This window comes from Homo sapiens, chromosome 4, assembly GCF_000001405.40.
Source record: "Homo sapiens chromosome 4, GRCh38.p14 Primary Assembly".
Taxonomy (NCBI): Eukaryota; Metazoa; Chordata; class Mammalia; order Primates; family Hominidae; genus Homo; species Homo sapiens.
In genome coordinates this window covers 73,721,388-73,744,585 of record NC_000004.12, presented here as the reverse complement: position 1 = coordinate 73,744,585, position 23,198 = coordinate 73,721,388, and the positions used below count along the sequence as shown (strand labels likewise).

The window sequence follows — 23,198 nt, the reverse complement described above, 5'->3', positions numbered from 1 at the left end:
TGAACTTAAAATACCCAGCAACAATAGCCTATGAGCTAGAAGGTGGTTAAACGTAAAAGTTCCAAAATCCTTGTTTTTTGAGTAGGAATATAAAGGTAAATGTTGATACATTGGATTTGTTGAAACATCGATTGTTATTTTTCATCATTTCCGAAAGATTTTTGCCATTGTCACTTCAAATGTTGTCTCTGACCCTTTCCTCTCTCTTCTGCTTGTGACAATCCAATTAGACATCTATTAGAGCTTACACCTGTATCCTCTACGCCTTTCGACTTCTTTCTCCAAATTTCTACCTCTTTATCTCTCTTATAAGAATTCCAGAAGTTCTTTGGTTCTATTTTCTAGTTTTCTAATTTTATTTTCAACTGTGTCTAATTTGTTATAAAATTTATCCACTGAAATTTGTTAATTAAATAATTATGTTTTTACTTCTCAGAGTATTGTTTGATTTGTTTGCAAATATGCTTAGGCTTTAACCATATTTTAAACTTCTTTGCCTCACATTTATCAGTTTTACTCCTCAGTTACTGATAAGCAACTTATAATATGTACTCTCTTTCCTCTTTAAATGTCCAGCTATGCTAAAGCGCACAGACATACAAACCGGTTAATCGAAATCTGAAGACAGACTTATTAGCAAGATAGTATACAGTGGGGAGTTGAAAACATTTCCAACATTCTGTGGAGGACACTACTGTTTGTAACCTATTTCTGGAAAGGAGTTCTGTTTTCTAAAAATAAAAGTTTGTAATTTTCCATAAACAAAATGCTAAGGGGAAGCATTTATGTTTTCTAAATCAAAGTATAATTTTAAATATAAACAAAGAGAATCCCAATAAGCTAAAACTAAAAAAAAGACAAACACTTGATTACTTTGACAACAAATTATATTTTAAATGTTTCATATTTACTTTTATATTTCCATACAATCAGAAACAGTAAAAAAAATTTGGAGAGCACATAAAAACATCTTAAAGTTAAAAATATAAAGCCTTGTATTTAAAAATGCAGTCATTTAAATAATATTATAAGAATCTATTTGTACATAATAAACAAGTTTCAACCAGCAAGAAATTACTAATATTGACTGTGGAGTTTTGGCTGTTTTAATAGTTCTAACTCATTATTCCGTAATTCAACACAGCACTACCAACACAGCTGGCAATGACAAGACTGGGAGTATCAAACTAGGATTGTTAGTTCAATTAAAATTTCAGATAAACAATAATGTACTTATACTAAAAAATTATTTGTTGTTTATCTGAAATGAAAATTTAACTGGGTACCCAATTGTTTGTTTGTTTAATCTAAAAACCCTGATTGAAATTTATCTAATAAAACATCATTTAATATCTAAAATAAAATAAATTTACTATAACATCTTTATAACTATTCAATCAATGATTCATCTTCTATTTTTCCAAATTCTTGCACAAATATTTGATGCTTAAATAAATACATAAATAATAAATAGGTTAATAAGTTACACTTGAAAATAATTTATGTTATGATGAAAAAACTTAAAGTGCTTCCACATGTCCTCACAACATCACTGTGAGGTAAGATGGTGGCTAATACTTTTTCCACTTAGAAATAAAGGAGAAACCAAGGCACAGTGGAACAAGGACTTGTGGATCCTGGCTAGCAGACTAGGGTTGCCAGATTTAACAGAAAAAAATCCAGGATTTCCAGCTAAATTTGACTTTATGGCAAAATTTATTGTCCCATCATTTTTATGTGATGCTTCAAATATCACATTCTAGCAAACCCATTCAATTCCTGAAATTAAAGTTCGGATATTCTCTTGGCCCTTGGCCTCAATTTTGCTATTTGTATATTCTCCCGTGCAATATCTAGGAAAATCCTTATATTTAAAAATTATTTGTTGTTTTTTGTAGATTCAAATAAATAATACTTTACATATAAGTATGTTCTGGATATTTCATGGTACAATGAAAAACTATTCATTGTTTACTGAAATTCAAATTTAACCAGGAATCTTGTATTGCATCTGGCAACCCTACAACAGACCCACACAATACATGAAGTGTTGAAGTAGATTTGCTTGAAGTTTCACTGGCATCTTCACTGATTCTTGGATACCACAGAGAATGAATTTTTTTATGAATTCTCAGCCCTAAAATAAAATTAAAAATATAAAGATGAGCTATGTTTAATAAGAAGGAAAGTAGGGTTCTTGAAAAGTCAATATAGTCTTTGACATTCATGTGTTAGAAATGCTCTATATTCTCAACTATAAATAGGGAGATCAAAGAAATTATCATCTAAAATAGGACACTACTGGGAGTGACAAAGAACTTTACTAAGAGTATAGGACACAAGCTTAAACCCAGAATTTCCTGGGCAAACTATGTATGGTCTTTCTGGTCATGAGTACAACAAACTCACTATTGATGCTATTCCTTTTTTTTTTAACCAAAAAGGCAGATACCTAATGACGATTTTTAGCAACAGAAAGAAATTTATAGGCTGACTTTGGATTATATGTCTCAGGATAAATGAAAAATTTAAATTAAAAAATATATAACTTACCTCTTCAAAAACTTCTCCACAACCCTCTGCACCCAGTTTTCCTTGGGGTCCAGACAGAGCTCTCTTCCATCAGAAAGCTTTACACTGAAATAAGAAAGAAATGGTTCAGATTAATATTTAGTTTTTGCATTCAAATCATGATTCCTTAAGTCAGGCATAAAGTCTAAGTCCAAAATAACATTTATAGTAGTTGTGGAAGCTACCATATTTAAATGTCATGTAGACAAATATTTTTATTTTGTTTTGTTTCATTTACTACTGTAATCCTAACACCTGGAACTTTCCTAAATATTTCCACCTTCCTTAATTTTAAGTTTGCTAAAACAAAATATCTAATCTTTTTTAAAGTACTTACATAATTTCTGTGTTGGCGCAGTGTGGTCCACTCTCAATCACTCTCAGTTCTTTGATAAATTTGGGGTGGAAAGGTTTGGAGTATGTCTTTATGCACTGACATCTAAGTTCTTTAGCACTCCTTGGCAAAACTGCACCTGTTGGGGGAAAAAGTGATTAAGGATTGATTTTATCAACAGGCACAGCTCTGCCAGCTACTTCCTTTCTAATTCCAATATGATTATTTGGAGACTATGGAAGGCATCATGTTTCTAGTGAACTCATTCCTGAATATTCTCCTAGCCCTTGACCTCAGTTAGTTCTTTGTTTTAAAAAACAGTCATAACTGACAACATTGAACGACTTCCTATATAAAGAGTTAGAGTTCTTTTTGTACAATATCAACATCTTCATGGTATTTTTATCTGGTCAATATTGCATAATCCTCTGTGATACCACAGTGTTATTTATAGTAGGCAAGCTAAGACTCTCCAGCATAGAAATTGCCTTCAGAAAGAATTAACAGAAATATATAAATAAGTTATACATGCCTGGTCTATAATCAGGGTATCTTTAAACCAGACAGGAATTAATGACAAATCTGAGGCTTGTCAATGAAATACTACAAGGAGTGGAATTGTCTGAGTTACCTTGCTCAACTCAATATTAATACATAATATAGGTAACCGTGGTTCTCAATAGGACATACTATAAATTACTTATTTACGTTAAATATATGCATGCTACATGGTATAAATTATAAAAGCAGAATATCTATATTGATCAAACTTTATACTTTCCTAAGTGTTATATATAGTTTTTTCTAAATCTTCAATTTAACATTAATTGACTGCTAAGATTATATTCTGTTTCTGAATAAAAAGGATGTTTGTTACCAAAGCATCAAGAATAGCTTTGCTATCTAAGGATCACATTTAGACATAGGAAAACGCTGTAGGTCAGAAAGATGTGCTTACCTTCACACAGAGCTGCAGAAATCAGGAAGGCTGCCAAGAGAGCCACGGCCAGCTTGGAAGTCATGTTTACACACAGTGAGATGGTTCCTTCCGGTGGTTTCTTCCTGGCTCTTGTCCTAGAAGCTTGTGTGCTCTGCTGTCTCTGAAAGTTTGTGCCTTATGGAGTGCTCCGGTGGCTTTTTATATCATCACCCTACTAGAGAACTTATGCACCCTCATCTTTTCATTATGTCAGAGGAAATTCCACGATTTGCAACTGATGGCCCATCCCCTCAGGGCAAACCTGAGTCATCACACTTCCTATTTGTTCCTTATCAAATACGGAGTATGACGAAAGTTTTCTTTGATCTTTAAAATAATTTAATTTTAATATACATTTAAAATACTGAAGCTCCACAATTTGGTGAATTATCAATTGTATGCTTTTTTATTTCTAGATAACTTTATCATAGTACCATGTGACAGATATAGTACTAGAGTGGCAGGTGTTAGAACAAGATCATGGATGATTTTCTTTTAATGGCATAATTATTTTTTTTCAGTTAATTACAGATGCTATCATGATGGTGAAGATAAGCCAGCCAATCATTTTATTGGGGAGGTAATTTAAAATAAATCTTTTTCTAAGCATTTTAGAGAGTTTCTAGGAACTGTTACTGCTCTTAGGGGGCATACTACAACTTTTCAAAAGATTTAGTTTTCTAATGCATGTTAACAGAGTGAAGGGGCACATGTGCTTCACATAGAAATCAGTTCCACAAACATTTATGGAGTAACTTTCTGAGTAATGTGGGGGATCTAGAAATAGATAAGACTAGGTACTTGTCCTTAAAGAGTTTGGTCTATCAGAAGAAGAAAGCAATGTAAGGACTGACTATATAGCAGAATAGACAAGTGGTACTAAGACATTAATTCCAGTGGAGGCATAAGAGCAGAATCTTCCAAAGGCAGTTGGAGCAAGGCATTGAGGAATAGGAGGGCTTCAATAGAGGAAGATGAAAGAGAACAGCACATTCCAGATAGGAACAGTATTCAAGGCCACTCAAGTTGTAAAGTTAAGGTATGTTTATGCTCCAGAAAGTGGTGCACTGGAGCTGCTTGGTTGGGGTGGGAGGGAGGTGTTATCTAATGGAAAGTTGTATGCTTAGTGGAAAGAGCATCTGGGTTCCAACTCTGGTTCAGCCACTGTTGCTTCATGCTCTTTATCCAAGGACACCAAGTCTGACCTCTGAGGACCCATGATCACTAGCAAAAGGGATGGAGTGAGAAATTTCAACAAATCATAAAAAGGTGGCTTTATGTCCTAGTGTCCTGAAGAAAAGAATCCAAGACCTTTCTTGAAAGGTCTTGGATTCTGTAGATAAAGAGCACCAAGGAAGGGTTCTTATGATAGTAAAAGTCTGTTCGCTTCTGGGCAAGTACATAATTTATAAATAATTCACCTTGGTGTAACAGTTCTTCATTTTCAGAAAGTACGACAGAGCAGTGAATTTGCCCACACTGTGAACACACTGTGGAGGGGGAATGCCATTTTCAAATGCTTTCCAAAAAGGTTTGTCTGTTTCTGCACAATCATGTTTCTTTTTGTTATCTTTCTCCAACCAACCTAAGACTTGAGGATAAAATAATGCCTGGGTTACACTGAATTCTATAGCAAAGTAAATGTTTATTCTATATAATGTAGCTCCTATAGTTTTCAACTGTAGTATTTCAGAAACTTCATTATTCATTTAATATGTGTTGTTTATCTGCTAATGTCCCTTATTGTAGGAGATGTGAATGCTATGTAAATAGATATAGTACCTGACTTAAAGGACTTTGTTGTCTAGTGCAGAATATGGAAAATTAGTTACACAAGTAAGTAAAATACAGTGATGAGTGTTACAATAACAGGTAATTACAGGAAGTTCTGGAATCAAACAAACATGATCTTTGAGGCAGTTTTGATGAATGAAGGTTTTCTGAAGAAACAACATCAAAAGTGTTACCTTTATTGTTAATGAGGAGAAGAAAGACCAATGGGACTGCTTTGCTAGTACAGGACAGGAAGTACAGGACAATGAAATGTAGGCGAACATGGCCCATTTGGGTTTCTCAAACTATTTAGCATACGGAACACAGTGCATGGAGTGACAAGAAGAGAAAGCTTGGGCCGGATAGGTAAAAAAGACCTATATCTTAAAGAAAACTCCAAGTTTCTTTGCTTCAGTGATGTTGGCATGTTTAGCAAAGACACATTCTCATATGGACACAACCTGGCTTGACTGATTCAGTTCACTATCATTAAGACTCACTCATACAGCATCACTAAGACATTCAGAGTTCTGAGGATGTGCAAAGACTTCTTTGCTTTTCCCTAACGGTTGCCTTTGTATTTATGGTGAGCCCAACTTACATAGACACCTCGTTTTCCTCCTTATTTTCATGTCACTATATCTCCCTCTCATTCTCTTCTCATGGGCCCAACTTTATCCTGATATCATCCTTAAAGTTTGAGCTAATGAGGTCTACTTAACCTTGATGCTCACATTTTTTTTTAAGAATGAAGCCTTTCCAAGGCAAAAAGACCTCTTTTGCAAATGTTGTTCATCTCTCACAATGTAACCTTCAGTGCATTATGTCCTAGAACCCTCTCCATCAGAAGTGGGAATGGACAAAGATGAAGTGACTACAAGAGCATTGATTCTATCTTGTCTCACTTCTGTAAAGATAACCATTTGAGTCCTTGCATAATGAGTAGAAGGACTAAATGGGCTTAGGCGGAAAAAAAAAAGCAGGACTAAGTATCCTTTTTAAGGATATTCTGCTTTAAAATAGAGCAAAGTGGGGTACAAAGTTTAACTAAAGTGCCACGCTACACATAAATACAAATGTTTTGTCATCTTCTAGAGATGAATGCAAAGTGAGTTCATGAGACTTAACTGTTTATTTACGTCCCATTCGGCTCCTGAGCCATAAGAATCATTTGATGAGCAGAGACTAGCACCTAGATATCCTCATTAGACGTTGACGAAGTCTATCACCCAAGAAAAGGAAGAGTTCAAGAAAGAACAAAGACGGCCGGGCGCGGTGGCTCAAGCCTGTAATCCCAGCACTTTGGGAGTCCGAGGCGGGCGGATCACGAGTTCAGGAGATCCAAACCATCTTAGCTAACACGGTGAAACCCCGTCTCTACTGAAAATATAAAAAATTAGCCGGGAGCGGTGGCGGGCGCCTGTAGTCCCAGCTACTCAGGAGGCTGAGGCAGGAGAATGGCGTGAACCCAGGAGGCGGAGCTTGCAGTGAGCCGAGATAGCGCCACTGCACTCCAGCCTGGGTGAAAGAGCGAGACTCCCGTCTAAAAAAGAAAGAACAAAGACAAAGATGGCCTCTACTTTTCCCATATTAGTACATAACTCTTCCATCAAACTCCATGAAACTGGGTGTTTCTTGCCTATGCAAAATCATCTAAATCCCCTCCCACCCACGCCATAGGAATTTTAGAATTAGGACTTTTTTGTAAGCCTGAACTAAGTTGTAGTCATATAACAAAGCAAAATATGGTGGGCAAAATGTGGTATGAGCTTTGAAATGAAATGAACTTGGGTTTAAATCTTGTTCCATGGTTTATTAATCAGGAGATCTTGGGCAAGCTGATTCTATGCCCATTGTTCAACTCCTGCTGCTAAAATCTGAGATCCCGTCAGAGCTGCCTTTCTCAGTCTCAGGAGCAGTCTCAGCTCTCACCTGGGTTTTTTTCCCATTTGAGGAAATTAGTCCCAGCTCAACAATCCTCTAGGTTAAAAGAATCATAAACAGAATGCTTAACATATATTAGTGAGTTTGACTTACGATGTTGTTAATGTTAAGAGTCATAAACATAAACATACTGCCCACTAAAATTTTAGTCAATAAAAGTCAGAGTTAGTGGAAAGATTTAAAATATGTTCTCAGCTCTGTACTTTGTTTATGTGATAACTTGATCTTCTCTAGTACCGCAAGACCATTTCAGTTCCATCTCCAAATTCAAATGTCTCCAGTTAACAGTTTATAACAATACTGAGCAAAGTTGGTTCGTGTTGCCAAAAGTGTCCTACCTTTTAAAGAAAAATCTTGGTAATTGGAGAAGCAAACAGCTGAACACATTGGATTTGAGCAACACAAGTCAGAATAACTTAAATTTAAGGGTATGTATGGGTGTTGGAATAAGACAAACCTGCCTTCAAGCCTCACCCCTCCACTTATTATTAGCCAAACAATCATAGGCAGTTCTTTAATCTGACTGTCTCTCAGTTACCTCATCTGTAAAAATGAGAATAACACAGTTCCAAAGGATCACCATGAGAATTAAATGAGGAAACATAATGAAAATGCCCAGAATGGCACCTGGCACATTGGAGGTACTCAGTAAATGTCTGCATCTTTTTCCTCTAGACTATCACTTCAGTCACCCTTATCTTTTCCTGGAGTTAGAGCACCACATTTCTTTTTAAAAGCTTACCACTCAAAAAGTAAAGCTGTATTAACACAATAGATCTCTTAAAGCTTATGTCTAGATGCTTTATTTTCTTCCACTATATAAGCTTTCTTTTTTAATGCCTAACAATTCCATTTGCATTCACATGTAAAAAAATGTACTATAACCATTAATATGAATGCCATTTCTAATACTATCCAAATCGGTGGAGTTTGGAGTTTGAAGTTTGAAGTTTAGGTTTAGGGGAAGACACCAGTTGTGTAAACAGGCATTTATTAAGGACTTAGAAAGGCTAAGATCAGCCAATCTTCAATATGAAAAAAAAAAGTAAATATTTACTTGTAGCTATTTCTTTTCTTTGTTAAATTTATTAAAAAAAAAAAAGGGCTCACTGTGGTGGCTATGCCTGTAATTTGGAAGGCCAATTCAGGTGGAGCACTTGAGCCCAGGAGTTCAAGACTAGCCTGGGCAACATGATGAAACTCTGTCTCTACAAAAATATACAAATATTAGCCGGGCGTGGTGGTGCATGCCTGTAGTCCCAGCTACTCAGGAGGCTGAGGTGGGAAGATCACTTGAGCCAGGGAGGTCGAGGCTGCAGGGAGCTGTTATCATGCCACTGTACTCCAGCCTGGGTGACAGAGAGCCTGTCGCAAGAAAAAAAAAAAAAAGTAAAACAAAATTATGTGTAGACCTAATTTCTTTATTAGATTTATTCTAAAACACTTAGGCATTATTTACTCCAATGTTTACAAAAAAAATGTATCTTTGACATGGCAGTGATCACGTTACATGTTACTAGTATTTCTTTCCAAAAAAATAGGAAATGAGATCACTTGGCAAAAAGGGAAGTTGCTATGTTAGAAATGACTGAACTGATGCGTGCATTTAATTGTGTCTTGTGGTAAACAAGACTCACACCAAGCAATAAGTCAAATGACTAAGGGAAAAAAAGAAAAGTTTTCATGCTGATTCAAAGGTGGTTATGATTCTGTAGTGATATGTAGTGATGTTTTTCTTATTTTCTCAAAAGTTTCTTTATTATTTTGATCTATTATTTTTATAAATAGATGTAAAATTTTTAAAAGCTCAGTTGAGATAAAACTCTTAGCAACTTGAAGAAAGTGACTTAGGGAAAAAAAGCAGTTACTATGCTATAATTTCTATATTTTGTTTCTCACAACTCTCCTAAAACTTTTATTTTTAAAGTTTTTGTTTCACAATATGAGCTTCATCTTAACTGCATCTTTCTCCTCACTTTGGCCTTGGGGTGACTGAAGTATTTAAGACAAAGTTTAACCCACATAGACATTCCACATTGATGGATTCCATTGAAATGATGAGCTCTCCACCCATTTGTGTAACCATTTATTGATATTTGTCTCACCCACTTGACTGGAAATTCCACAAAATCAGAGACTACAACTGCTTTATTTAGACTGTGTTCCAGCTTCCAGATTAGTGCCTGCATGTAACAATGTTCTACAAACATTTCTTGAATGAAAGCAGAAATTTCCCAGTTCTTGCAACCTATCCAAACAAGAACAATGTCAACGAAAGAAAACGAAAATGCTTATCTTTGTTTTTGTTCTCCCTTGGGGACAATTATTTTATTTCCATGAACAGAGAAGAACTTAGCATGGAAAATACAGTTTTAGTTAGTGCTCTAATTTAGCAGTGGTGGATAGATAAAGCAGTAAACTGTGCAGCCAAACAGCAGTTTCATTCCACTGGTGAATTAACCATCCGATATCTTCTAGGCTCCTTGAAGGCAAGGGTAAGAAATAACAGGTTAGGATACAGTGGCATAAAGGATGGTGAGCAGCATGCGGGAAGTCCTGGCAACTGAAGTCCACCACTGGGGGAGAGGCTCTGCTGCTTGCTCTTTCCCATCAACTGCATTTCACAGAACTGTGGAGACTCCAAGGGACCACACACTGTTTCTGGAGGCCAGAGAGTGAATATAAATGGTGTTCTATAGGTTTTGTCTAATTAACGTTGACTGTGCTAAGACTAAAACAGTTTAGCTTCCATTTTAAGTATTATCTCAGTGGTTCTTAACCTTTCTTACTTTAACCATTTAAGTCTTTGAAAATATAATGAAAGTTTTATACCTTCTGCTCAGCCTCAAGGATGAATGCTGGCATGAAGTTTCAGGGAGTTTACTGAACTCCCTTATAAACCCCTAAGGGCTAAAATCAGTAAAGGGTAAGTTGGAGGTATTACATTTGACAATAATGAGCTAATCCTATGTGTACTACCTTTAAGTCAAATCAATTGAAAGAGAAGTGGCATTTTCTGAATGGTGCCTGCTCTTTCTGGATATGTCCTGGACAGAATTCAGAAAACGTTTTTTGAAGTTTTCAAAAGAGAAAGTGGAGATGGATAAGGAGCAGAATGAGGAGGAAGAGAACACTCATGGTATATAAAGGCAAGATTTGAGTGACCTTTCATATTCTTGTGACCTATAAGAGTAAGACCCAAATCCATCTAGAAAAAGATCAAAACTGAGTACTACTTTCAACTGAGGTAGCCTCCTTCACAAATCTACTGAAAAGCAGTGTCAATGGCAAAAGGAGGCTGAAGAGAAGGGTTACATTTTAGTTCTTCCATAATTCTCTTCATTTCCCCAAAATAGATATATTCAAGAAAAGCTACATAATTATTTCACATAAAAAGAAAACAAAATTAAAAAATAATTCAGATTGTGTATGAGTTTTGAGATACTGGCCAATCTCTCAGCATTCCTCAAATTTATGGCAAAATAAGGACATAAAACTTCTTTATCTCTTTCAGTATAACCTGGTGCCCCCAAATTGTCTGATTTCCAGATTTGAGCCCTTTTCATTTTTAGGTGGCTTATTCTCTCATCTAGCATTTATCTCAAAACTCATTTAGAATGTTTTTTGACTGCATCACCTTACTTGTCTATATTAAATCACTCCATGTGGTCCCTAAACCAGGAAGGAGGAAATCACCACTCACAGATGCTATTGGAGTTTTGAAACAAAGGAAAAGCTGTCTGCTCCAAACTTGCTGGATGAACTTTTTATGCACTTCCTTTCCCCCAAGAGTGGGAGGTGGACCTGGAAAACACAACTGGCACCATCTCCTACAAAGCTGGATATAAAAGCAAAATGGGAAGGGTGGGTGGGGGAGGTAGGTAAGAAATAACACAACCAGCCAGAAAAACAGGACCATGAAAGCACATCATCAAGAGACCCAAAGATAAATGAAGCAGGTACTAGAAAGCCAAGGTTAATGAGAAAAGTTAAAAATAGCACATTTCTTTTCTAGGTTTGACTTGCTTGGACTTTAGCAATGGGTATACAAAGTTCTCACTCAAGAATAATTGTACTTACAGAATCTTATTACTGAGTACTTCATGTTTTATTTTTGTAATATTCACAACAACCCTATATTTTAGTATTAAATATCGCCATTTAAAAGATAAGAAAACAAACTTAGGTTAAGTATTTAATAACTTGCAGAAGGTCATCCAGCAAGTAGGAAACAGAGTTAGGATTAGAACCTAAGCAGAGAGTCCAGAATTCTGTGCTGTCTCAGGGGGTTTCTCTCATGTGTCTGTAAGACTTACAGACTTTCCTTTGAGCACATTTATCTTCTTTCTCCCCTCCTCTCCTGCCAGATTAGACTTAGAAGACTGGAGAAGAGAATCTTGATTCAGTGAGGGGAGAGGGACATCATAACCCAGTAGAAGGACGAGTCCCTCCTATCGAGGCCTCAGGTTTTTCATTTGTAAAATGATGGGGTTTGCCTATACAGCTCTTCTGACTGTTTTATTACCCTGTAAGCTAAGGTATGTGAAATGGAGAACTTCCTCTGGGAAACTTGCCCACTTGTACCAGCAGAGGACACTTACCCAACTCTCAGATTTAGCAAAACTGTAAGAGAATATGTACTCGTCCTTCAATGTGGCTAACTAAACATTGCCATTTGCAAAGTTCTCTTCAACCAAGAGGAGAAGGGCATGGGTTCAATGAAGTAAGGAGCTGTAATTGGAGGCCATGGTGATGGTGTGCATTACCATCAGACGCCTATTCCCTGCCCCCAAGAAAAGAAGGAAGTGCTTCCTGCGCTCTTCTCTTGCCGACACTGTTTCCTCTTGCCTGATTTCCTCATGACTCTCAGACAAGTTGCAACCGTTTAACCTGTCGTTGTGAAACAAGTAATGTGGTTGGAGTTGGAAAAATACTAAGAAAAAAAAGTAAGAAAGAAGGAAATAAACCCAACTGATTTGCTCTGAAGCAAAAGCATCAAACTTAGTGAATATTGCTTGAAAATATATGTAGAGAGGCTTAACTTTCCCATCACTCATCCATTTAACAGATATTTACAGAACACTTTCTATATCCCAAACACTTTTCTAGGTGCTTGGGAAAGGTTAATGAATATCACAAATAGAAATGCCTACCCTTAGGAAGTGCCTTCGGTGAATAAATGTTATGAAAAAATAAACATAAAACAGATGGGGGAATTAGGGGAGTCAGGTGTGTGAGGAGTGAGCAGACTGCAGCATTGGAGAGTCAGAGGAAGCCTCCTTGAGAGATTGATGCCGAGCTACAAATGGAAGAAAGTAGGAATTGGCTCTGACTATGTGGGCGAGCATTCCAGGCAAAGGGACAGTGAGAGTTAACAGTTAGTTGGGAGCATGACTGGCGTGTATGAGGAACAGTAAGGAGGCCAGTGTGGCTGGAGCAGGGAGAGCTGGTGAATGGGAAAGGAGGACAGACAGCAAGTGGCCACACTAGATAGGCCTTGCGGGTCATCGCAAGGATTCCAGCTTTCACTCTGTGGGGAGAACCATTGCAGTGTCTTTGGAAAATCAGTGACATGATCTGACACTCTGACAGCTAGGGTAAAAAGGAGTATGGCAGGAGGAAGGGAAGCAAAGCAGGATAACCAGTTAGAGGGCATGATGGAAATCCAGGAGAGAGATGATAATTGCTTACATTAGACAAGCGTGGTGACTAGTGGTCAAATTCTGGATAATTTAAGGTAGAGACAGCACAAAACCCTGAAGGATTAGGTATAAGACATGAGAAAAAGACAAAAGTCACAGACGATGAAGACTTCAGGTGTGAGCAATTGGAAGGATGGAGCAACTAAACTAAAGTTGCAGAATTATTTGAATGTGGGGCAACTCTTGCTTGATAGAGCTCTTCTGACCACATCCTCAGTGGATATCCTCAATTAGGCAATTAGGCCCATAGTTGTGTGACCCAGTGGCTATGGCTGGTGGTGGAAATAATGAGGAGGCACGGAGGCAGATAGAGGGGTGGGGGGCAGGGTAATATTTATTGTCTTCCAGCTCCTGTACTGGGTTCTTTATAAAAGTTAATTCATTTAATTCTCATCACAAATTTATGTGCTTGGCGCTATTATCTCCATTTTTATGTTTAAGAAAACAGGCTCAGGGAGTTAAAATTGTACACACATAGCAAGCAAGCAGCTGGACCCAAACCTGAATTTAAATCAGCACCCAGGTCTCTGGCCCCAAAGCTTGAGCTCTCTTCCCTCTGCAGAATGAAGTCCAGCCTGGGTAGAGCTCTGGCAGCCCACTTAGTGTTCATGTCCCAGTGGCCCAAGTCTTGAAAACTAGTTTAACAAAACTCTTTTAAGCTTAGTAAATAAGGTTGCAAGAGCATCAGGAAAAGTTTCTGACGGGTCTGAATTTTGTGCTTAAAAGGGTGAAACATGCCCAGTGACCTCACCTCCATTAAATCTATTCAATGACATCTGTGGTTTGTAAACAGTTCATCAAATGGGCGGGGTGGGAGGAGTATATTTGTCCAGGGCTTTGCATTCACAAAAACCCTTAAAGCTGATCTTCAGTGTTATTAACAAATAAGGTCAAGCTGCCAGCCAGAGATATTTTGATAAGATTGAAAACAGAAGACACATAATACTTAACTTTAAAATCTTATCCTGTCCTGAACATAGAATCTGAGTATACTACGAAGTGCTTATACTTTTAATACCACAAATACATTGCAATATATTTGTGCAATCTAAACATGTTAATTTATTAAATATAGGCAGTTAATGTATTTGTAAAAGTTTTATAATTTTGTTGTGACATTTCTCTTCTTTCTCTTTAAAATATTGATATTATTTAAAAAGAAGAATAAGAAAAGAAAGGCGATGACTCAGGCCCACCTTGACCTTCACAAGGGCTCTGTAGTAGAAACTTACAACACAACAAGCCACCACCTACCTTAATAAATATACCACAGTGAGGGAAAAAGAAATTCAGGAAAAATGACATATTTTTCTCTTTTCTGTGGTAAGTAAGTGTCCAAGTACAGGTCTTAAGCTCTGCACAAATTCCAACTTGGATGTTTTTGGAATCTTGGAGCTTGGTAAGGTAACGTATAGTAAGCCCTTAATCATATCTAGTTGGCAATATAGAAAGATTTCTAAAAGGAAAAGGCTCAAACAAGAAATCCTTCTGATAGTCAGTGTATCCCAGTATAAGCCCCACCTTGTGGTCAGAAGGCAGCACTGTCACACTCCCATCCACAGAAGAACTGCTGAAAGGCAGGGCTGGGAGAGTTTCAGTAAATGCAGCCAGAATCTTAGGCAAGCACGTTGTCCTCTATTTCTCAGCTTTTCTCATTTCTGTGGAATGGTACCAGTTCACTTGCTCATTTCCTCTGTGTATGTGTATGTGTGTGCTGTTGTTGGATTTAAACACTGGAGCTTGTCATTTTCTGCATCCACCTCCTCCCAGTTTCATCTTCATTGGAACTTCCACGTCTCTGAAATTAGGCCTCCCAGCAGGGCCCAGTAGCTCACACCTATAATCCCAGCACTTTCGGAGGCCGAGATGGGTGGATCGCCTAAGGTCATGAGTTCGAGACCAGCTTGGCCAACTTGGCAAAATCCCGTCTCTACTAAAAATACAACAATTATCTGAGTGTGGTGGCAGGCACCTGGAATCCCAGCTACTCAGGAGGCTGAGGCAAGAGAATCACTTGAACCCAGGAGCCAGAGGCTGCATTGAGCCAAGATTGCACCACTGCACTCTAGCCCGGATATCAGAGTAAGACTCCATCTCAAAGAAAAGAAAAAGACAAAAAAAAAAAAAAGAAAGAAAGAAAGAAATTACACCTCCCAGGTTAAAACAAACCTGTTTCTTCTTCCATTTACAGTGTTAGGATCAAGAGGACTTGATCAGAATCCCCTTAGTTTGTGAACACCACGAAGACTGAGGTGCAGCCTCAGCAACACTGGCTGGTCAGAGACACTTGTGGCTGTGGACTCTGTGTGTGTGTGTGTGTGTGTGTGTGTGTGTGTGTGTGTGTGTGTGTGTGTGTTGGGAAGGAAGGCAGTCTATCCATCTGTTCAGGGTGAGGAAAGGTGAAAGAAGGATGTGAGAAGGGACAGAAGGAGAATAATTTTTAAAAAGATGGAGAGGGGAAAAAAGGAGACAGAAAGGAAACCTATGCTGAGGTTCCTTGAGCCACTTTAGGGAGGGTATTAGGACCCTGTTTTCTTTCCATTTAAGGGAAAGCAGGCAATTCCTTAATGTGGGGTCTATCATAATAGTAACATCAAAATATCTTTGGAATATGTAGCAATGTAGTATACAAGGTATAGACTTTCTTTTTTAATTGTAGTGAAATACGTGCAGCATAAAATTTATAATCTCATTCATTTTTGAATATATAGTTCAGTAATATTAAGTCTTCACATTATTGCGCAACCGTCATCATCATCTGCCTCCAGAACTCTTAGTACCGAATAAAAGTCTTTGTTCAAATTGAGGCTCTGACACTTACAATCACTTAGTGTCTGAGGCCCCAGTTTCTCTCATGTGTAAATGCTGACTTTAATGAAAAAAAACAATGGAAATGAGTTGTCGTGAGCATTAATAACAATATTTGTAAAATGCTTAGTATAGTAATAAATGATAGTAGCCATTATTTTATTATGATGATTTCCTGGAACTCTTTGTTTTATTATGATGATTTCCTGGAATTCTCGCTGCTTGTTTCCTCTTCATGAATAACATGATCCTAAACCTTCCCATAATCACCTAGTGAAGCTACTTCCCTCCCCACTAGATCAAACATACCCTATTACCCCATAGATTTCTTACATTATTTTGTGTATTGTTTTTTAGAGCTGTGTATTATTTCCTATGGCAGGGAAATGGGACCAGAAAAAAAAAAAAGTAACTACCAAGGTAACCAAAGAGTACGTCTTTAGCACAACTGTGTTCCAACCTATGCAAATTATCAACTCATTTTCATAGCTAGAACGCTGAATGCTCAGAGTCAGTGAGGCCCAGACTGGAGGAGGGCAGGGTCAGGGAAGCCAGTCACCGGCACAGCTTTCGCCCAACAGCCTCCAAGAAGTCAGACTCACAAGACCTTCTTCCTTGTGTACACATCCCCTTCTTGTGAAAGGAGTGGCTGGACCGGTGGGTAGTCCCTCCCTACCGATTGCCCCAGCTCTGGCTCCTCGCATGTCCAGTGCCCCTCCTGCTACCCGCTAAATACCTCAGCTCCCTGTCACAGCCTGTCAGGCTGGATTTGTAGGAAATTTTTAAGACAGGTTAAGTTTAAAAGGCTCCTGCAGGAATTGTAATTTCCGTCTATTTATGGAACCATTCTGACTTCCCATACATTATCCCATTCAGCTCTCAAATATAACCCTTCCTTCCTTCCTTTCTTCCTTCTTTCCTTCCTTCCTTCCTCCCTCCCTTCTTTCCTTCTTTCCTTCCTTCCTCCCTCCCTCCCTCTTTAACATTTGCAGTTCCTTATTATAATATGGTTCTCTTTTAGTGTAGCAAATTTGGAAAATAAAATATAAAGAAGGAAATAAAAATTGGCTGTAATCTCACTACACAGAGATAAAGATTTTAATGTACATCTTTCAGTATTACATGTGTATTCATGTACATACATTTTTAAATTGGCATTACATGGGGCATACCATTTTAGGTTCTCTGCCTATCTCACTTTCCAATCTCATAGGCATTTGCTGCCAGTCAGTATACTACCTCATGATTTTTGGCTTCTGTGATGTATTATAACATGAGGTTCTACCAACTCCCTTTTCTCAGCTGTTCTCCTGTTTGAGACCCTTCCCCTTCCTAGCCCCCTGTGCTAGGTGAGTCCTGCTTTCCCTGGCCCGAGATCACCATAGAAATCTCCTAACTGCTTCAACTTTGAGCTTCCTCCCCTCCACTTTTCACTCACATCTGCCAAGTGAGCTTTCTAAAATCTGAAATTTTATAGCTTTTCTACAAATCTGAGTGTGTCTTTCCCAGACTTTAGCCTTCAGCCTTTATCCCAGTGCCATGGTCTTCATAATACAGTTTATACTCCCAGCCCTGATAAAATTCTCTCCCCACTTGGCCCCTTCTGGCCTCTCCAGACTCTTCTCTGGGTCTATCTTCCTCCCTGTCACCCTCAGCTTTAGCTTTTCCATTCTTCTTCCCTCTGCTGGCTTTTTTTTTTCTCAAGAATCTTATTAATCCTTTAAAAGGTCTAGGCACCACCACCTTCTCAACCTTGTCCTCAACCTACTCCCATGTTATTTAAGGCCTCCAGAACAACTCTCTCCTCATGCCAGGAGGCTTCCTTCTAGCCCAGTGGGTTCTCAGACTTTACAGTATGTCAGAATCCCCTGGAAGGGTTGCTGAAACACAGCTCACTGGACTCCACTCCCACCATGTCTGTTTCAGAAGGGAAAAGGAGGCCTCCAAAATTGTCTTTTCCAACTAGCCCACAGGTGATGCTGATGATGCTTGTCCAGGCACCAGAACTTAAGAATCACTGCTTTAGTCCAATGTGCTGTATCATAAGTGATTTCTTGTGTCTCCCTTCTGGACGGTGACCTCTGTGTAACAGGGTCTGAATTGGATCCTAAAATCCTCACGTATGGTGGGTACATTAAAAAATCTCCTGAAGAGAGGAACTCTTCCAGAATTCTTCTGGCTCAGCAAGTAAGTGGTAACTGTGACCAAGGACACTCAACTTCCTTCTCCAGGCTCCATTCAGATCTCAGATTCCAGAGAGGTGACTCAGTATAAAATCCTGTGCAATGTCTTTGGCTGACATGCCTCAGGAGTCATGGGTATGAGCCCCTTGACCATGTGTGGAATTTCCCAAGGATTTTTTAAAATCTCCCTTTGAATCCCCTTTCCTTATTGAATTTTCCCTCACAGATGCCTCAAGAATAATAATAATAAGGCATTGTTTATCTGTAGATAAGTCACAATTGCAGAAACTTCTCTCCTTAACTTTGCCATTAGGAGCCACAAAATGACATACAGGAAGCTATATAAGGTTTACCTTAGAATTTTGGTAAACATTTTCTTCACATAAAAATTATTTGTGTTTCTGGAAGAGGGTAAGAAGGAAAAAAGGTGAAATTTTGTGTCAACGCAAATATGGTATCGTGGGAAGAAAAGTTCCTTTGAATATGACCTAATAGAAGCTCTTTCTGGGAAGAATTCTGTTCTATCCACTACCCTATTAACCACATCTGCTTTCACACACATGACATGTCCAATCTAAACCTAAATCTACTAAATTCAGGAAAACCATTGTTCATGCAGCTTCCCAGAATCACATGAAGTCAGGGAGCAATGTGCAGTTTCCCTAAAGTGCTCTTGTTTCGTTTTACATGTTAAACTTCTAGGTATTGAGACAGTCTTTCAAAATACGCTAATAATTTGTACATTAGTAACTTCATTTACAAGTGCTAACAATTTCTATAGTAACAGAAAATAAAAGAACTCATGGTGGCTCCATATTTTTTAGGAACCCTGTGAAATAAAGTTTATATTTTAAGGCAAGCTTGGACTGGCTAGGCTTAGAAGATAGTTTTCCTTCCCGGTAATGAAAAAAATCAAGGCAGGCCATGGGAGTGTACTCCCTAAGTACATGTTTTTCTCTAATTTCATTGGAATTGTTACCTAGCCTTTATGAGGCCATCCAATTCTGATTGTTTTTTTCCTTTATTAACACCATGATCAACAGGGCACAATGATGGTACATGAACACATGTGCAGGGAGCTGAACTCAAAAGTGAACATTCAGTGATGTACCCCATGGATGATCAATAATTAATGGATGGCTTATAGATATTTAATCAACAAAAAAGAAACAGCCATAAGCAAGACACATTTCAGCTAATTCTTACCTATAAAGAATATTAAGTGTGGGATAAAACAAGACATTTTTCCCCTCCCTCCTGAAACATCAGGATAAGATTTATCTTGAACAATTCCAGTGACATTTTCTTGAGTTCTAGCCTCTTACTAATATTGCATATTCTACTAAGAATATGCAATAATTTAATAACCAATCAATTAAAACTCAGGAGTTCTAACCTGCCATTCTAGTAAAAAGTGGACAATTCTATGTTTCAGCCAAAAGAAACACTCTCAACATTATTCAACTCTGTGCTGGACTTCAGAAAACCTAAAAAGCTGTACCATTCAGACAGACACAAATGAAAATGTTTTCTCGTCACAGTTGGCCAAAATTACAGAATGATAAAAAACTGAATTATTTCTAGAGAACCATTTCTTCGAAGATTTTATGAATTGATCTTGTAATATTTATTCACCAAAATACACCAATGATAGAAAATATCATGAATTTACCTACAACATAATCACAGCAGTGCTTTCATTCATGTTTTTAAAAGGGATTCTGTGATTAATTTGCTTTTTGTAGTATTTCATTCATCCATCCATTGAATTAATGTTTATTGAATGCCCATTAAGTGCTAAGCATGGTGTTGGGCACAAATAAATTCTTGTTAAAAGGTGCTAACGCTGTCCAGTAACATTTTTAAATTAAAAACAATCTAGCTGAGTGTGATGGCACACACCTGTAATCCCAGCTACTTGAGAGGTTGAGCCAGGAAGATCACTTGAGTCCAGGAGTTCTGGGCTATAGTGCACTATGCCAATTGGGTGTCCACGCTAAGTTTGGCATCAATATGGTGACCTCCGGGGAGCAGGGGAACCACCAGTTTGCCCAAGAAAGGGTGAGCCAGCCTGTGCAAATTATCAACTCATTTCCACAACTAAAACGCTGAACACTCGGAGTCAGTGAGGCTCAGACTGGAGCAGGGCAGGATCAGGGAAGCCAGTCACCGGCACAGCTTTCACATGACAGCTTCTAAGAAGTCAGACTCACAAGACCTTCTCGTGAGTCTAAGCAGGTCAAAACTCTTTTGCTGGCCAATAGTGGGATCATGCCTTTTAGTAGCCACTGCACTCCAGCCTGAGCACTATAGTAAAACTCCATTTCAAAAAAAAATTATAATAATTTTTAGTATCTACTGAATTTGAAAATATTTGTGACATCAATATTACTTTAAACAAAAAAGTTACACTCATAAAGTTAAACATAAAAAAGCCTTGAAGTACAACATACTAGTTCTGCCCAGAAATTATACAAATTTCAATGTTTTCTTTGTTGCACAAACAAAAGCAATTAGAATACGTTAGACAAAACTCCAACTAGTTCAAAAGTGGGAAGGAAAATGAAGGGGAGTAGAGAATGCTTCAGTTTAGCTTTATTTATTTCCAGAGTGGTTAAAAACTAGTATCTCCTTGTTTATGTTGCTTAGAACAGAAAAAAAATAAGCCTTATTAGTGTTGTTAGTGTTATAGAATCCAAATACTATGAAACTTTAAAATAGCCTGAAAATAAAGACGTTTAGATAAATCTTTCTTAAATAATTATTATTGCGAAGATTTCTGAATCTTGGATAATCTTGCATATATCAAAATATTGGACTTCAAATGGGAAAGCCAGGCCCTTACAGGCACACTTGACAATGTTAAGGTCCCTGTAGGGTTATGATCACCATGAACCTCCTACAGAGACTTAATTTTTCCCCAATCCTTTTCTCTCTCTGCCAGTTATTGATTCAAATGGTGTTGGAATATCAGCAGGTTGTAATTGGTGTATGGAAAAGAAAGCATAGGCCACTCTATCCCTTGCTTCCTTCCAGACTGTGAATCATAGCTTCTAATGGAATTATGTAAGCAGTGGTGGGTGATGAATGACGACATTAACGCAGGAAAGGTTCTAGGTGCTAGGTTGCACACTTCCGTACACCTAAGCACCAGACTAAGTCACCCTGATTCTCAGGGTTACAAGGCATTATATCTGCTTATATAAGAAGCCACAGGATCAACGTGGCATCTCCCTGGAACATAAATTTCCATGGTTGTAAAGCAAATTAAAATACTGATTTGATGCTCCATTAAAATAAACAAGAAAAGAAATAGATGCTTTGAAAGGAATTTCACTCTTATATGGGCCGTCAGGCTTCTTCTGCATGCTCTCTCCTATACCATTGGAGGCACTTTGCTTGCAAGGGGGAGAAGTGCAGGTCTGTCATCTCCCACTGACTTCTGCTCATTTCCATGCCTCTGCTGTGCTTAGCAATTTATTGTAGTTACATGTGCATGTATTTTGTCTGCTACTAGATTGTACACTCTGCAAGGACAGAAACTGTGTCATTTCAGTCTTCTGCCTCCTTTATCGTGCCCAGCATATGGCTTAGTGCACTGAAAAGAGTCAGACTCATTCATTCCAGGATAGATGTTGTTTTAGGAATATTGAGGTGGAAAGCTGATTACAAGGAAAATTGTGGAGAATGGGTATAATGTATGTTATCTGGGTGATGGGTATCCTAAAAGCACTGACTTTGCCACTACATAATCTATGAATATAACAAAACTACATTTATACCCTGTAAATTTATACAAATTAAAAAATGTGGGGAAATCTGCTATCAAAGTTCCCAGACCACTTCAATTGGATGGTTCACTTGTAGGACCCGGAATCCTCATTTTCTCTTCTCCTTTCCCCTTTATCAAAATCTATCTCTTGAATTGTCTTTTACAAGATTATAGAAATGATTTTTAAAAACTCAAATTGTTATTTCTAATAGAAAAATGTGTGTTTCAACAGGGGACAACTCCTTAAACTAAAGAAAACTGCAGACATCAGTCAGTGGGTGGAAATTATTTTTGACAAGGGGCATTCCCAGATCTCCTAAAGACACGACATAGACAGTTAGATGTTCCAATGACTTATAAGGCCAGCCCTGGAGTGACCCTGTACTGGACCACATGAGTCAAACTGAACTCATTCTTTTATTGAAAAAAAAGTTATTTTCAAAGTTCAGGATGAGCTGTCATTATTCACTGTAGAATACAGTGAGATTTATCATACAGATTTATATCTATGACAAACAAAGCTCTATTCTCTGGAATATAAAAAGTGATTTGCTACTGATGACTTTCACTTTTTCATCTTTTAAATGAGAATCCTGGCCAGGTATAGCAGAGAATATTTAACACTGTATTTTCTATGTGCCAGGAACTATCCTCAGCGCTTGCCATGTATTAAGTCATTTAATCCTCTCAATAACCCTATGAGATCAGTACTATTATTATCCCAATTAGCTAATGAGTACATTGAGGCAGAGAGGATATGCAGCTTGTTCAAGGTCCCATAGGAGTATATGACAGAGCAGGATTCAAACTTTAATATCAAATTCCAGAGCCTGCCTTCTTAACCACACTCCATGAGCTCCAAGGCTTTTCCAGAACTGAGAATCTACAAGCTTTTCTCATTTATCCATGATACACATCTGCTATTGCGTCATTAGCCCATGAAGCATTGTAATAAGGAAATTGCACAATACACAACACTAGCATAATGAAGAAATTATAAAGATACTGATTATCCAAGATTCAGCAATCTTCTTAATAATAATTATTTGAGAAAAAATTATCTAAATCTCTTTGTTTTCAGACTATTTTAAAGTTCTATGGTATTTGGATTCTGTAATACTAAGACCACTAA

The 23,198-nt window shown here is 37.7% G+C and overlaps 1 protein-coding gene across 2 annotated transcripts, besides 1 other annotated feature; it reads right to left on the bottom strand.

Annotated features, from left to right (window-relative positions):
• CXCL8 (C-X-C motif chemokine ligand 8) lies at positions 870–4,017 on the bottom strand. 2 transcript variants are annotated; one of them, NM_000584.4, is made up of 4 exons: positions 3,864–4,017; positions 2,909–3,044; positions 2,554–2,637; positions 870–2,137 (listed from the first exon to the last, which is right to left on the bottom strand). In NM_000584.4, the coding sequence occupies exons 1-4, from the start codon at positions 3,925–3,927 to the stop codon at positions 2,122–2,124; spliced, it is 300 nt and encodes a 99-aa protein (NP_000575.1). In that variant the 5' UTR covers positions 3,928–4,017; the 3' UTR covers positions 870–2,121. The 2 variants fall into 2 exon arrangements, with proteins under 2 accessions (NP_000575.1, NP_001341769.1); NM_001354840.3 differs by having other exon boundaries at positions 870–2,637.
• Positions 5,260–5,554: a silencer, noted in NCBI's record as "tiled region #5404; HepG2 Repressive non-DNase unmatched - State 24:Quies". NCBI's record gives its function as "represses a minimal TATA promoter and a strong SV40 promoter by Sharpr-MPRA in HepG2 cells {active_cell/tissue: HepG2}" and the evidence as "EXISTENCE:reporter gene assay evidence [ECO:0000049][PMID:27701403]".